The sequence below is a fragment of the Homo sapiens genome, chromosome 1 (assembly GCF_000001405.40).
Source record: "Homo sapiens chromosome 1, GRCh38.p14 Primary Assembly".
Lineage (NCBI taxonomy): Eukaryota > Metazoa > Chordata > Mammalia > Primates > Hominidae > Homo > Homo sapiens.
Genome location: NC_000001.11, coordinates 23,801,885 through 23,818,338, shown reverse-complemented (window position 1 = coordinate 23,818,338; position 16,454 = coordinate 23,801,885). Strand labels below are relative to the sequence as shown.

At 49.6% G+C, this 16,454-nt stretch overlaps 1 protein-coding gene across 2 annotated transcripts in view, besides 2 other annotated features; it reads left to right on the top strand.

Annotated features, from left to right (window-relative positions):
- HMGCL (3-hydroxy-3-methylglutaryl-CoA lyase) overlaps nt 1-16,454 on the top strand; it is a 23,545-nt gene extending 7,091 nt beyond the window's left edge. Inside the window, exons 3-9 of one of the 2 annotated variants that reach the window (NM_000191.3) lie at nt 756-863; nt 1,569-1,664; nt 4,001-4,149; nt 7,540-7,603; nt 10,016-10,204; nt 13,814-13,939; nt 15,775-16,454. In NM_000191.3, the coding sequence (NP_000182.2) occupies nt 756-863; nt 1,569-1,664; nt 4,001-4,149; nt 7,540-7,603; nt 10,016-10,204; nt 13,814-13,939; nt 15,775-15,876 (834 nt within the window). In that variant the 3' untranslated portion in view covers nt 15,877-16,454. The remainder of the gene's footprint in view (nt 1-755; nt 864-1,568; nt 1,665-4,000; nt 4,150-7,539; nt 7,604-10,015; nt 10,205-13,813; nt 13,940-15,774) is intronic. The other variant, NM_001166059.2, reaches the window with a different exon arrangement.
- Nucleotides 7,299-7,504: a silencer, noted in NCBI's record as "fragment chr1:24137325-24137530 (GRCh37/hg19 assembly coordinates)". NCBI's record gives its function as "represses an EF-1alpha promoter that drives an FKBP-Casp9 reporter gene in an ReSE screen in HepG2 liver carcinoma cells {active_cell/tissue: HepG2}" and the evidence as "EXISTENCE:reporter gene assay evidence [ECO:0000049][PMID:32094911]".
- Nucleotides 8,292-8,341: an enhancer, noted in NCBI's record as "active region_377". NCBI's record gives its function as "activates an Ori minimal core promoter by ATAC-STARR-seq in GM12878 lymphoblastoid cells {active_cell/tissue: GM12878}" and the evidence as "EXISTENCE:reporter gene assay evidence [ECO:0000049][PMID:35858748]".

The window sequence follows — 16,454 nt, the reverse complement described above, 5'->3', positions numbered from 1 at the left end:
CACAGACACGTGCCACCACGCCTGGCTAATTTTTGTATTTTTTGTAGAGAGGGGGTTTCGCCATGTTGCCCAGGCTGGTCTCAAACTCCTAAGCTTAAATGATCTGCCTGTCTCAGCCTCCCAAAGTGCTGGGATTACAGGCGTGAGCCAATGTGTCCGCCTGGACCTGGAGTTCTTAGAATTTTTTGCGTAATCCTGTAAATATTAGGGAGCCATAGAAAGCTTTTGATGCAAGAGAATGGAAGGTTGGAAGCTGCATTTTAGGAGGATTCCTGTGTAAGATGAATTAGTGGCTTGAGACTATGCCATGTTATATACAGGATAATGATGGTAGATTTGGAAAGAGGAATCCATGGAATCTGTTGAGCTACTGGACATGGTGGGGAGGAAGATAAAGAAGCTATACGCTGAACACATGAGGCTGAAGTCCTATGCCAATTGGGAGACAGAAGCGAGGAGGGTGTGATACTTTGGGGGCCCCATCCCATACTCCCCAGAGGGTTAGTCATCTCTGCCCTTTCAGGCCATCACACATTGCTCTCAGTTTGTTTATGATGGGATTATAAATTAACACACATTTACTTACGGGAAAGCCTGCATGGCAGAATAATGTTTCTATGTAAATAACTCCTTTTCAGGTGAGAAGCTGCATCCACTGCAAAAAATTATCTATAGTACTTGAACTAACAGGTACTGCATTTTGAGGCTGTTTTGTTACTAACTTTGCTGCCTTGGTGTTTCTCTCTCCACTATAGAATATCGTATCTACTCCAGTGAAAATCAAGCTGATAGACATGCTTTCTGAAGCAGGACTCTCTGTTATAGAAACCACCAGCTTTGTGTCTCCTAAGTGGGTTCCCCAGGTGAGCCCTAGCCCTCAATGAAAGGCCTTTCTCTAGGGATGAAAAGTTTTGCATTTGCCTTTGAAGCAAGTAGAAGTTGAGAACATAGGTTTCCAAGCCCCTGGCTTTGAGAGGTCTCAGGTGATTCATAGCACTGTGTTGCAGCAAAAGAACATGACCCAGGATTCAGGGCCTTGGGTTCAGTCTTGGCTCTGCTCTGACTTGCTCAGTGACATTGCTAAGGCCTTCCCCTCCTCAGTGTTAGAGATGACCTCTTCTAGCCCTAAAGTCTAAAACCCTCTATGCCTGTCTGTGGTTTCTTTGTTTGTAAAAGAGGAAGACTGACAACTCCTGCTTCACAAAGATAGTTAAGTGAAGAAGAAACATCCTGTTACAAAGGAGTGCTTAACACAGAGCTGAGCTCAGTGCCTGGCCCAGAGTACATTCTCAATAAATGGCTGGTAGTAGTATTCCTGCTGTTTCTGCATATGTAAAGCTGGCAGTATGGGCCATATGGAGAAATTGGGATCTCAGCCAAACCAAGGGCCCTTCTGAGCCATCAGCAGTCAAACAAACAGTAAAAGTATTGGAGAGACTCAGCTCTGCAGAAGGAATTACTCGCTAAGAGTTCTGGAGAACAGAGGTTTTGTGATGAAAAGGTTTTCTCTAACTGAACTCTCTGTCTGCTCTTGGTGATGACTTGGCAATGTCTCCCTTGGTTCCTAGATGGGTGACCACACTGAAGTCTTGAAGGGCATTCAGAAGTTTCCTGGCATCAACTACCCAGTCCTGACCCCAAATTTGAAAGGCTTCGAGGCAGCGGTAAGAGGATAGCTTGTTGGTGGGGGCTCCTGAAATGAGATTGATGGCATTGGTCCCTGCCTTGTCTTGGCGCCTCAGTCCCCTGTCCTGGGATGTCCATCTGAATAGCTTGTCTGTCAGCCAGACCCTGGGGCAAACCTGGCCCTGCCACTCACTGCTCTGTGATCTTGACAAGTTGACAAGCCTATAAAATAGGGCTAAATGATAGTACCTGAAGTTGTGAGCATTTCAGAAGATAGGATGCATGTACATTGCTTAGCAAGAGCCAGATAAAAGGTAACTGCTTAATAAATGTTAGCTCTTTTGATTATCCACTTCTTTAGAGAAATGTAACCAAACTCTCCACAAGAGTTTCAACAGTAGTTGCTGGCATCTGCCAACTTTCTTACAATTTTAGACAAGAACATCTTTGGAGGCGTTGGTTCTGTATTTAGGCAAAAACCTTTTTTTGGCTGGGCACAGTGGCTCACACCTATAATCCCAGCACTTTGGGAGGCTGAGGCCGGAGAACAGCTTGAGGCCAGAAGCTTGAGACCAGCCTGAGCAACATAAGGAGACCTTGTCTCTACAAAAAAAAAAAAAAAAATCAATTAGCTGGCTGTGATGGCATGCACCTGTAGTCCTAGCTACTCGGGAGACTGAGGCACAGGATGGCTTGAGACTAGGAGTTCGAGGCTGCAGTGAGCCATGATAATACCGCTGCACTCTTCCAGCCTGGGTGACACAGCAAGAAAAAAAAAAAAGCTTTTTCTCAAGAGTGACTTCCAGGGTGGTGATGGCAGTGGTGGTGGTTTCCTTGGGGAAAATCAAAGTTTTTTTTTTTTTAATTAAGAGAAATTACTGTGTTTGTTTCCTAGTGCTACTGTAAGAAAGCACTACAGGCCGGGCGCGGTGGCTCACGCCTGTAATCCTAGCACTTTGGGAGACCAGGGCGGGCGGATCATGAGGTCAGGAGATCGAGACCATCCTGGCTAACACGATGAAACCCCGTCTCTACTAAAAATACAAAAAATTAGCCAGGCTTGGTGGCAGGTACCTGTAATCCTAGCTACTCAGGAGGCTGAGGCAGGAGAATCACTTGAACCCGGAAGGCGGAGGTTGCAGTGAGCCAAGATCATGCCACTGCATTCCAGCCTGGGTGACAGAGCAAGACTTTGTCTCAAAAAAAGAAAAAAGAAAAAAAAAAAGAAAGCACTACAAATTGGGTGGCTTAAAAACAACAGAAATTTATTCTCTCACAGTCTGGAGGCCAGAAGTCCCAAATCAAGGTGTCAGCAGGATTGGTTCCTTCTGAGGCCTCTGGGAGAATCTGTCCTATGCCTCTCTGCTGGGGTCTGGTGGTGGCCAGCAGTCCTTGGCATTGCCTGGCTTGTAGATGCATCTCTCCAGTCTTTGCCTCCGTTTTCCCAGGGCCACCTTTTCTGTGTCTCTGTGTCTTCACTTGGCCATCTTTTGTTTTTGTTTTTTTTAGACAGAGTCTTGCTCTGTCGCCCAGGCTGGAGTACAGTGGCATGATCTCGGCTCACTGCAAGCTCCACCTCCCAGGTTCAAGTGATTCTCCCACCTCAGCCTCCCGAGTAGCTGGGACTACAGGCGTGTGCCACCACGACCGGCTAATTTTTTGTATTTTTAGTAGAGATGGGGTTTCACTGTGTTAGCCAGGATGGTCTCGATCTCCTGACCTCATGATCTGCCCGCCTCGGCCTCCCAAAGTGCTGTGATTACAAGCGTGAGCCACTGCGCCCGGCTGGCCATCTTTTTTTAAGGTCACCAGTCGTATGGGATTAGGGGCCCACCCTATTCCAGTATGGCTTCATCTTAACTAATGATATCTGCAATGACGCTGTTTCCAAATAAGGTCACATTCTGAGGTGCTGGGTTTTAATCCTTCAACATATATTTTTAGGAGGACACAATTCAACCCATAACATTCACATAACATAAAATTTACCTTAAGAGAAATTTTTTGCTACTCTGTGTCAGTGTTCTTTAAAGAGAAAAGTGCTGGCCGGGCATGATGGCTGACACCTGTAATCTCAGCACTTTGGGAGGCTGAGGTGGGTGGATCACAAGGTCAGGAGTTCGAAACCAGCCTGACCAACATGGTGAAACGCTGTCTCTACTAAAAATACAAAAATTAGCCGGGCGTGGTGGTGGGCTCCTGTAATCCCAGCTACTCAGGAGGCTGAGGCAGGAGAATCGCTTGAACCCAGGAGGTGGAGGTTGCAGTGAGCCGAGATCATGCCACTGCACTCCAGCCTGGGCAACAAAGCAAGACTCCATCTCAAACAAAAAAAGAGAAAAGTGCTGAAAGGAGTTCACCTGGATGTTGGCAGGTTGCTGCTGGAGCCAAGGAAGTAGTCATCTTTGGAGCTGCCTCAGAGCTCTTCACCAAGAAGAACATCAATTGTTCCATAGAGGAGAGTTTTCAGAGGTTTGACGCAATCCTGAAGGCAGCGCAGTCAGCCAATATTTCTGTGCGGGGGTGAGTCAGAGCACATTGGTATCCTTTCCTCTGTACCGTTCTGGAATGGGGCTAGACTCTGACTCAAGTGGTCCTCCTGCCACAAACTTCTTATCCTGGGTGGGGGCAGCCTGAGCTCCACACCTAGACATCTTTTCCCAAATAAGTGTGGTCAGAAGAAATCCTAGGAAGTACTTTCTCTCAAACCTGAATTTTGGGTCAGTTTACCAGCTAGCCATGATAGCATGCGCCTGTAGTCCTAGCAACTTGGGAGACTGAGGCAGAGGATGGCTTGAGACCAGGAGTTTGAGGCTGCAGTGAGCCATGATAGCACCACTGCTATCATGCTAAAGGAATCTAGCAGGACAGGACACTAACGGGTTTGTGGAGGTCAGTTGAGTCCTGGCTTTATCACTAGCTCTTCACACATCCCTGGAGAATTACCTAGGCTTCTATGTTTCCAACATCACATCTCTAATATCAGTGGTTCCAGGCATTGTGTGTGTATTATCTATAATAATTGAAACCTCACAATAGCCCAGCAGGGAGTAGGTTATCCTCACTTTATAAATTACAAAACCGAGGCCCAGGAAGGGCGAATACTCTACTGTAAGGTCACACTGCTGTGCAAATTGCAGCCAGAGGCCGGGCATGGTGGCTCACACCTGTAATCCCAGCACTTTGGGAGGACAAGGCAGGTGGATCACCTGAGGTCAAGAGTTCAAGACCAGCCTGGCCGACATGGTGAAACCCCATCTCTACTAAAAATACAAAAATTAGCTGGGCGTGGTAGTGGATAGAAACCCCGTCTTTACTAAAAATACAAAAATTAGCTGTAATTCCATCTACTTGGGAGGCTGAGGCAGGAGAATCACTTGAATCTGGGAGGCGGAGGTTGTGGTGAGCCGAGATCACACCACTGTACTCCGGCCTGGGTGACAGAGCAAAACTCCATCTCAAAAAAAAAAAAAAAAAAAAAAAAACATTGCAGCCAGAATGATCGTTGAAAAGTGCACATCTGGGCTGAACATGGTGGCTCATGCCTGTAATCCCAGCACTTTGGGAGGCCGAGGCGGGCAGATCACCTGAGGTAAGGAGTTTGAAACCAGCCTGGCCAACATGGGGAAACCCCATCTCTACTAAAAATACAAAAATTAGCCGGGCGTAGTGGCATGCACCTGTAATCCCAGCTACTCAGGAGGCTGAGGCGGGAGAATCACTTGAACCCAGGAGGCAGAGGTTGCAGTGAGCCAAGATCACGCCACTGCACTCCAGCCTAGGTGACAGAGTGAGACTCTGTCTCAAAAACAAAAACCAAAAAAACCCCACAAAAGTGCACATCTGATCACATCCCTCCTGGTTAAAAAGCTTTCAGTGACTAATCAAGTGCAGACTTTTTAATGAGGTTTACAAACCCTGCATGATTTGGTCCCGGCTCTTTTCTGTAGCCGTACCGTTCAAGTTCCCTTCTGGCCCCTGCTTCCTCTTCATGGTACACTCCAGCCCAACTGGAACTTCTTTCTGTTTGTCACATGCCTCCACTCTTGCCTCTGGGCCTTTGCACGTGCTCTCTCTAGACTCAGAACAACCTTCCTTGGGAGGCCAAGGTGGGCAGGTTGCTTCAGCCCAGGAGTTTGTGACTGGCTTGGGCCTGGGCAACATGGTGAAACCCCAGCTCTACAAAAAAAAAGCCAGGTGTGGTTGCATGTGCCTGTAGTCCCAGCTACTCAGGAGGCTAAGGTGGGAAGATCACCTGAGCCTGGGAGGTCCAAGCTGAAGTGAGCCAAAATCATGCCACTGCACACCAGCATGGGTGAAAGAGTAAGACTCTGTCTCCAAAAAATAAAGAACACTTCCTCCACATCATGCTTCTCGGGGATAACTCCTGCTCATCCTTCAGGTCTTCTTGTGGGAGTCAGTTCCTCTGAGAAGCTGCTCCAGTCCTTCAGCTGGAGTTAGTGCCCTTCTCTGGGACCCCATGGTGTCGGGACATCCTCTAAATGTAGCACTTAGCTGCTTGTTAAATTCCCTCCCTGCCCCACCCCACTAGACCGTGCACTCCATGAGGGCAAAGCCCACATCTCTCCCAGTCCCTGGGGTGCTCCACTCTCCCAGCTTGGGGCCTAGCCACAGTGGGCACTCAGTCACTGACGGGCAGGTGGATGAATGGGGAAGCAGGTGCTCCAGTAACATTGGCCCAACTCCCAGATCTGTGTCTTTCTAAGCATCTCTCTTACCTTTTTCTTGCTCAGCAGTGGTTGGAGAATAAGTGGGAGCATCAAAATGGAAAAGTACACTGAGATCTTTGAGTCTGAAATTATTTATCTGTTGAACATTTATTATGCCTCTTAATATGCAGAATTTGCTTGACTCTAAAGGGTTTTAAAGACAGCTCCCAAAAGGGCAGGTGGGAATAGAAGTCACCTACATCCCAAATCCACCCTCCTTACCATAGCCCTAAGACCCATGATCAGACCTGTGCCCACCTTGCTGACCTCCTCATCTCATACTTCCTTTCCCCTTGCTCTGTCTGCCTCAGCTGTCCTTTGTTCTGTCTGGAGCATGCCTGGCTCTTCTGTCTCAGGGCTTTGCCCAGGTCTTCCCTCTGCCTGGAATGCTCTTCTCACAGACCACCCCCGGCTCCTCTCGGCTCCAGCATCCTGTCCTCAGAGGGATCTTTCCTGGACCCTCACTAGTTGGCCTCCTCCACTTGTTCCTATCATTTCCCATCTTTCCTCTGTGGCACATCACTTCTGAGATTTTCTCCATTACTTACTTGGTTGCTTTTTTATTGGCCATCTCCCTAACTTGAGATAAGCTCTGAGAGGGCAGGAACCTTATCAGTCTTGCCCACTGCTCTGTGCCAGTGCCTGGCACATAGCAGGCAACTCAGTAAACATCAGGTGAATAAATGAATGAATGAATCCTCTAGCATCTCACTGGGGCAGCTCATCCCTTGGTCCTCAGGCCAGCCCAGCCTGTTACTGACTCATATCCAACTCAGCTCTTGTTCTGAGTTTGGTTTTACCCAGTCTTTGGTCTCCTTTTGGAGTACTGGCCCCAGCTCCTCTGGCACGTAGTTTTGCTCCATCTCCCCACCTTACAACCCAGCTGCTTACTCTCCTTGCCCTCTCTAGCTCCTCCTCCGCTTATTGTAAATCCTTGGCTGCCTCTCCTGAGGCCTGTGCAACTTCTGCTTCCTCAATTGTAGGTCCATTGTCCCCCAGTTCCCTGCCATTGCTCTCTACTGCCTCCTCCTGGCACTGAATTGTACCATCCCTGCCCTTACTCCGCCCAGCTGCAGGTGTTGATTGCACACTGATCAGAAATGTGTGTTAAACAGCCCTGCCTCAGTTCTGCTAGCCAAAAAGCTCAGGACACTGACCTCATTCCTCCCCTGTCTTCCCACAGGTACGTCTCCTGTGCTCTTGGCTGCCCTTATGAAGGGAAGATCTCCCCAGCTAAAGTAGCTGAGGTGTGTGCATGTGTCAGGGCGGGGGGTTTGGTGAGGGTTGGCCACCTTGTCTGCCCCTGAGCGCATAGGTTCCTCTCCCCACCCTTTCTGGCAGGTTCCTGACTTCATTCATTCACCCAGCTCCTTCATTAAGCTCCTGCTGTGAGCACAGCCCTGCACTTGCTCCCTAGAGGCCCCCCTCCTAGCCGAACATGTAGTCCTTGAAGCCCCTGGCCTCTATCCAGCCTGAAAACCTCCAATTCAGTTTCCAGTCTGGTCGTTGAGGTGATTCTCTGAGGAGGGGCTCCTTACCCAGGAGTTCCCATAGTTCCTTGTAGTGATTGAAAGGCCACAACCCTGATGTCCTCTGAACAGTCACCAGGTCAACACTGAGAAGAACATGGCATGGGAATTGAGTTTGACCAGCCCAAGAACTTATGTCATTTAGTCCTCAAAACCACTGTGCAAATTTGGTATTATTATTCCCTTTTACAGTTGAGAAAACTGACACTAAATAACTTGCCACACAGGTTACAAATGGTGAAATCAGGTATCAAACCCCATTTTTTCTCTCTCCAAAGCCCACTTCTTCCCAGGATACTTTGTGGCATCCAGATAGGTGGAATGGTAACAGTAGCAACTGTTTCTTGAGAGCAGCTGCCCTGCTCCAGGTCTTAGCCTCAGTTGCCACAATCCTTGCCGTATGACCAAAGGGTCATCACCATTTTTCAGAAGCAGAAATTGAAGCTCAGAAAAGTGAAGTTGCTTGCCAAGGCCCACAGCTAGTGAACAGCAGAACTAGGACTTTAACCCAGCATCTCGTGACTTCAAAGGCCTGCTCCTTCCCCTGCACCCTGCTGCCCCCTAAAGGCCAGCCACTGCCGCCCCACACTCTGCAGGGCCACTGGGGAAGCGACGTCACCATTTCATTTATTTAGCAGATCACTGGTGTCTTCTGGTCCCCTTTCCCTGCCACATCCCTCTGCACCTTGTCCAGCAGCCCCGTGTGGGCAGCAGCTCCTTGGGTGAGGCCATCTTTTTTTAAGTTCACCAGTCGTATGGGATTAGGGGCCCACCCTATTCCAGTATGGCTTATTCCAATTGGACCCATATTGGACCTATTCCAATATGGACCCATTTTGCAGTGGTTTTAGAGATGTGCAAATGGGCTTCCAAAAATTTAAATAGTGATGTACCTCTATTAAAAAATATAACTATTGGCCGGGCACGGTGGCTCACGCCTGTAATCCCAGCACTTTGGGAGGCTGAGATGGGCAGATCACAAGGTCAGGAGATCGAGACCATCCTGGCTAACATGGTGCAACCCCGTCTCTACTAAAAATACAAAAAATTAGCCGGGGGTGGTGGTGGGCGCCGGTAGTCCCAGCTACTCGGGAGGCTGAGAAAGGAGAATGGCGTGAACCCGGGAGGCGGAGCTTGCAGTGAGCTGAGATTGCGCCACCGCACTCCAGCCTGGGCAACAGAGGGAGACTCCATCTAAAAAAAAAAAAAAAAAAATATATATATATATATATATATGGACTATTGATTGGCCGGGTATGGTGGCTCATGACTGTAATCCCAGCACTTCGGGAGGCCGAAGCATGTGGATCACCTGAGGTCAGGAGTTCAAGACCAGCCTGGCCAACATGGTGAAACTCCGTCTCTACTAAAAATACAAAAAATAGTGGGGCGTGGTGGTAGGTGCCTATGATCCCAGCTACTTGGGAGACTGAGACAGGAGAATCACTTGAACCCAGGAGGCAGAGCTTGCAGTGAGCCGAGATTGTGCCACTGCACTCCAGCCTGGGCGACAGAGTGAGACTCTGTCTCAAAAAATATATATATGTAAAATATATACATTTTTATACATATGGTCCAAGCTACTTGGGAGGCTGAGGTGGGAGGATTGCTTGAGTCTGAGAGGCCAAGGTTGCAGTAAGCCGAGATCACACCACTGCACTCTAGCCGAATGACAGAGTGAGACCCGGTCTCAAAAAAAAAAAAAAAAAAAGAAAAAAAATATAACTAGCATCTCAGACCCATGATTTCATGGATTTTATTGCTGAGGATAAAACGACATGGAAGGAATCAACTTCACTGATTCCAGCACCTGGGTCTGACAGTATGATGTGACAGCCGTAAGTGAGACTGAAGTCTGAGGGGCACAGGTAGGGAGGAAAGCACGGGGGTTGGAGCTTCAGGACTGTGGGCTGGCTCCAGCGGCTGGCTCTGCCCCTTACGCCTCAGTCTCCTGATCATAGATTGAGGATCATCATTCCCAGTTGGAGTGGTGAGGAGCATGTAATCCAGTAGGAACTGAGTGCGTCATACCCAGAAGTGTTCTGCCCAGGCAAAGGCCCCCTCTTCTGAGTGCATGGATCCCCTGGCTGGTGGATTCTGTATCCTCCAAGTGCCTGCTTGCTTCCTTAGGTCACCAAGAAGTTCTACTCAATGGGCTGCTACGAGATCTCCCTGGGGGACACCATTGGTGTGGGCACCCCAGGGATCATGAAAGACATGCTATCTGCTGTCATGCAGGAAGTGCCTCTGGCTGCCCTGGCTGTCCACTGCCATGACACCTATGGTCAAGCCCTGGCCAACACCTTGATGGCCCTGCAGGTAATCAAAAGCATATGCCCATTCTCCCAAAGGTCACGGTGGGCAGGACAGCTTGTTATCATTTATTCTTTCAGCAAACATTTACTGATGCCAGTATGCCAGGTTCCAAGCTGGCAATGGTGGACACAGTCATGGTGACCCTGCCCAGATGTGAAGTGTACAGCTCTGTGTTGGGGAGACAGTCAAGGGAGTTACATGGCAATCCCACTGCATTATGACAGATGCCATGAAGGGAGGAAGCATGGGGCTCAGGAAGCCTAGAGGGGCCCCATCCCAGCTGAGGAGATCTGGGAGGATTTGCAAAAGAGGCCTCAGTGAAGCTTGAAGAACATAAAGTAAGCTGCTGTTGAGGGAAGAGGAAAGATGACTAGGCAGAATTGCACCTCAGGACTGATGTGGGGTTCAGGGAGGACTCATACAATATACAGGGTTTTCAGTGTGCGGGTGTGTAGCAGAAGCAGATGAGGAAGCAGGAGGTAGAGAAGCTAGCAGAGGTCACTCAGAGGGAGAGGCTTTAATGCCGTTCCCCACAGATTGAGCTAAGACCTCAGATTAGTTTCCTTTGAGGTTTGCTTCTCGTGGGCTGGTCCAGAATGGAGATCCATTGGCTGGCAGCCAGATAGAAGGAGCATTCTTAGTGTCTGACCACAGCTACCTTGCTGTAGCATTGGCCTAACCTTCCATCTCTAGGATAGTGATGGCAGTTCCAGCCACTTTTTTTTTCCTCTCAATTATCCCCTAGAGGTTCGTGTCTAAGCCAGGTGAGTCTGTTATGTTCTGGGTCGGTTTCCTCAGAGTTGTGGCTGTCAAGGTTAAGGTTCGTAGTTCTGTGGTCTCCTCATTTTTCAGCTTACTGTGATACCCTGCCCTGGTTCCTGGGCTTTCCTTCAGCTCATGCGTTTCCCAGCCAGGCAGACAGGAAGAGTGACTTCCTCTCCTATGCCTTGCCAGGCAGGTAAAGGGGAATTCTGCACAGCTGAGGTGAGTCTGAGGCAAAACTTCATCCTGATCACGCTCAGGACACTCCTGCTCCTCTGTGCTTCTCTGTTTCATGGCAGTGATATCTCAGAATCCCCTTTTTGAAAATTTATCAGGGAACAGGTTGAGCTGTGTGACGTCTGGCAGTAGCTTCCTCTGACCTCCCTCTTCCATCAGTTACTTCGGAAATATGGATCGATGTGCCAGGTTAAGTGCTGACTTAGACAATGGTAACAAGACCCAATCCCTGCCCTCTGGGAGCTCATGTTATGGTGGGTGGGGAAGACAGATGGAAGATTACAGGCGTGTAAATAGCACATTGTAAGACCATTTATTCACCTATTAAAACCTAACCTAACGGTGCCTAGTGTGCTAGGCACTGTTCTCAGCATTAAGGATTCAGCTGTGACCAAAACAGAGTCTCTGCCCTCATGAGGCTGACACTCTAGTACTATGAGACAGATAATAAATAAACAAACATACAGCAGGCCAGGTGTTCATAAACACTGTGGAGAAAAAATGAAGCAGGTTAAGGCAGTGCCAGGCCTTTCTGTAGAGTGGCCTCACTCAGAAGGTAGCATTTGAGAGAGACCTGAGGGAAGCGAGGGAGTGAGCCCTGCGGATCCCTAGCAGGGAGGGGGAGGGAAGGGAGCCCCACCCAGGAAAGCAGGCGCAGAGCCCTGAGGGAGGAGTGTGCTTGCTGTGTTCAGGGATCAGGAGGAGGCATGTGGCGGGAGCAGTGTGACTGAGGAGAGGGGGGCAGAGATGTCAGGGTTAGAGGAAGGCCAGATCGGGGGCCTTGTAGGACTTTGACTCTTTCAGACTGAGCTGGGAAGCTAACAGAGAGTCTTGAGCAGGGGCGGGGAGGGAGATGATCTGAAATGTTCCGTTTGAGAGGCTCCTCGGCTGGGCACAGTGGCTCACACCTGTAATCCCAGCACTTTGGGAGGCTGAGGCAGGTGGATCACTTGAGGTCAGGAGTTTTGAGACCAGCCTGGCCAACATGGTGAAACCCTGTCTCAACTAAAAATATAAAAATTAGCTGGGCGTGGTGGCGTGAGCCTGTAATCCCAGCTATTTGCGAGGCTGAGGCATGAGAATCACTTGAGCCCGGGAGGTGGAGGTTGCAGTGATTTGCAGTGAGCTGAGATGGCGCCAGTGCACTCCAGCCTAGGCAACAGAGTGAGACTTCTTATCAAAAAAAAAAAAGAGGCTCCTCTGGGTGCTGTGTAGAGAATACACTGTAGAGAGAAGAACCAGTTTGGAGCCTACAGCAATCCAGGTGAGAGACATGGCAAGGAGGCCTGGAGGGCAGAGGTGCGTGACCGGATCTCAGCAGTTCGTGTTCTGATCTGTGAAGCTCGAGACATCTATAGGCAGGTGTGTTAACCTGGGTGCAGTTAACTGGGAGTGAGTGGAGATAGAGAAGCTGTCTGAGGAATGAGCAGTAAGGGCTCCAACCGAGATCAGGGAGGTGAGGAAGAGCCAGCAAAGACTGGATCGAGGCCTCAGGAGAGGCTAGAGCACTAGGAGGAAAACCAAGGGATGTGGAGCCCTGGAAGCCACATGGAGAAGGTGTCCAAGATGATGCGGCTAGTCAAGTGCAAAGATGAAGAGACTTGACCTTTGTACTTAGCTACATGGAGGCCACCAGTGGCCTTGACTAGAGCTGTTTCAGTGGAGGAGTTGTGGGGACGCAAACCTGTTTCGAATGGGTTCAAATGAGAATGGTAGATGTTAAATGGGAACAGCTCTTTTGAGGGACTTTGCTTTGAATGGGGGGAAAGAAATTGGAGGTTAGAGGGTTCCAAAAAGGTTTGTAAAAGATGGGAGAGATCGCAGGCTGTGTGAAGATGACCCAGTGGAGGGGAGTAACAGGTTGCAGCAGAGAGGGAGAGACTTACTGGAGCACATCCTGAAGCAGGTGGGAATGGGCCTCACGCCAAGGTGGAGGGGTTGGCCTTGGCTAGGAGCTCAGGGTCCATCTCAGGCAGCATGAGGGACAGTGGGTCTGTAGGCCCAGATGTAGGCAGGTGGGTAGATGTGATGGTGGGAATCAATGGAGACATCTCTTGATTGCATCCATTTCCATAAAGCAGCAGATGAGAATGAGGATGGGGAAGGGGGTGATAGAGGTTTAAGAAGAGAGGAGAAAGTGAAATAGTCATTTGGGATAGTGGGAGGTGACTGACCTGGGAAGATGGGATGTGGCCCTCGTGTGGCAAGGCCCTGACTGAGTGAGAGTAGCCTGGAGGTGGTGGGGGGTAAGTGGGGGGGGGGTAATAAATGAATCACAGTAAACAACAGGGGTCTGAAATCTCAGCAGTGGGAGGGGGTTAGGCTGGTGATCAGAAAAGGTCTCCCTGAGCAGGTGGCTTTCAGACTGGAACCTAAAGAATGAGAGTTCACCATGAAAGGAAAGATACTGCTGGCAGAGGAAACAGTTTAACAGAAACTAAAAGGAGAAGCACTGTCTCTTTCTGTGGGATTGTCATGTCAACAGAATCATAAGCCAAAGCAAAGAATGACTCTAGAATTTCAGGCAACAGACGATTGGGAGGTTTGCAAGGCTCATCTCTGTGGCCTCTTGTCCCCAGCAACAACTGTGTTTCACCATCCTTATGTTTCTAGATGGGAGTGAGTGTCGTGGACTCTTCTGTGGCAGGACTTGGAGGCTGTCCCTACGCACAGGGGGCATCAGGAAACTTGGCCACAGAAGACCTGGTCTACATGCTAGAGGGCTTGGGCATTCACACGGTAAGCCCACCCACCCCCTGGTGGCGACAGCCCCGAACTGACCAGGGGGCCTGAAGCTGAGAACAAAAGTGGATGGGGGTATTTGGGGTTGTTAAGGTGCTGAGGAGTAAAGAGGGAAAGGGTTAGCCAGGCGCAGTGGCTCATGCCTGTAATCTCAGCACTTTGGGAGGCTGAGGCAGGAGGGTCACTTGAGCCCAGGAGTTTGAGGCTGCAGTGAGCTATGATCCTGCCAGTGTACTCCAGCCTGGGTGAAACAGCAAGACCCTATCTCTTCAAAACAAAACAAAAGAGGGGAAGGGTGTTGGGGATTATGGATATTTGATCTAATATTTTAATGTTTGTGAGAGTAGGGTTGAGTGAGGCCACACGCATGGGCATAAGAAGGCTGGAGTGTCAGGGTGACTTTGACAGTTCAGTCCTAGGAGACACCAGGAACATGGAAGGGGCCCTGGGAAGGGTCAGGTTCATGACCTGAAATGAGTCAGTTCTCTCTTGGCTTTGTTTTGTTCTCTGTAAAATGAGGACAGTAGCGTTAGACAGCTCACCAGGGATCCGCCAGAGTCCACCAGGGCCCTCAGTGGCGGGACGGAAGCAGAATAGCATCTGTGCTTAAAGATCAGATGGAACTGGGTTTAAAGCCTACTCCTGCCACTCCCAGGCTATGAGACCTCAGACAAATTATTTCATCTCTCTGAACCTAAGAAATGGGAATAATAATGCCATCCATCTCATGGAGCCATTGTGAGGATTAAGTAAGAAAACGTACGTAGAGGGCCAGGCGCACGCCTGTAATCCCAGCACTTTGGGAAGCCAAGGCGGGTGGATCACCTGAGGTCAAGAGTTTGAGACCAGCCTGGCCAATATGGTGAAACACTGTCTCCACTAACAATAGAAAAATTGCTGGGCACGGTGGCTCACGCCCGTAATCCCAGCACTTTGGGAGGCCAGGGTGGGCAGATCACCTGAGGTCAGGAGTTCGAGACCAGCTTGGCCGACATGGTGAAACCCCATCTCTACTAAAAATACAAAAATTAGCTGGGTGTGGTGGCACGCACCTGTAATCCCAGCTACTCGGGAGACTGAGGCAGGAGAATTGCTTGAACCCAGGAGTCAGAGGTTGCAGTGAGCCAAGATCACGCCACTGTACTCCAGCCTGGCGACACAGTGAGACTCCCTCTCAAAAAAAAGAAAAGAAAAATTAGCTGGGTGTGGTGGCACACACCTGTAACCCCAGCTACTCGGGAGGCTGAGGCAGGAGAATCACTTGAACCCGGGAGGCAGAGGTTGCAGTGAGCTGAGAGCGTGCCATTGCACTCCAGCCTGGGCGACAAGAGCAAACTCTGTCTCCAAAAAAAAAAAGAAAGAAAAGTTATGTAGAATGCTTATCACAGAGCTGAGCACAGAGTGCACTTCAGCAAATATGAGCTACTGTATGAACAGAGGGTTTCTGTCTGGCCCTTTCAGTTGGTGTTTTTATCCCTCCCTCTCTGCCTCACAATTGTCACTTGAATATCAGTTTTTTACCTCTGTGGGCCAGGCCCTGTGCTGGGCCCTGAAGAGGGAGTACTGAACAAGACTGATAAGATCTGTGCCCTGGTAGTGGCACTACAAACCATGACAGAGATTGGGCATCTTACATGAGGGGGAGTCAGAGGAATAACCCAGGTGCCAGACAGACAGGAGCTCACAGGCAGCTGGTGCCCCGCTGTCAAGGAAAAAGCCTGTTTATCTTCACCTTTACTTTTCAGTATCACAGTTGTCTGTCCATGCTGATGTTTTCCCTGGTGTTGAGGGCATACCATGACTTACCGCATCCTCTAACTTGTTTCTCAAAGGGTGTGAATCTCCAGAAGCTTCTGGAAGCTGGAAACTTTATCTGTCAAGCCCTGAACAGAAAAACTAGCTCCAAAGTGGCTCAGGCTACCTGTAAACTCTGAGCCCCTTGCCCACCTGAAGCCCTGGGGATGATGTGGAAATAGGGGCACACACAGATGATTCATGGATGGGGACATGGAAATGAGAATAGGTTAAATGGTGCAGGTACCTCATAGCCAGCTCTACACAGAGGTCTCTCCTGGCAGAAAGCAGGCGAAGGGCAGGAGGAGCTGCTTGGCAGAAGGACCTCCTGCCCAGACCTGAGGAGTGAGAGGCTTTGAGGGCTGAAGTCTCCCTTTGTTACGGACCCTGGCCCAGGAGTTGAATGCCTGAGGACGTGTGGGAACCCCGTTCCCTACTTAGCATGATCCTTGAGTCTCCTCTCTGGATGGAATCCGCGAGCTGGCCACCTGGCCACCCTCTACACGGCTCCACCCTGCCATGGCCGTGGGGCCCTTGCTCTCTGACTTCTCAGGACACAGGTCATGGAGGTTCTTCCCAAGCTGGCAGAGGCCATTTGTGGAAAGTGGAGAGCTACGTGGTGGCCGTCTGCCAACTCCAGCATCTCTGGAAAATCTCCACGCTGAATGTGATTTTTGAAAACAGCTTATGTAATTAAAGGTTGAATGGCACATCATAA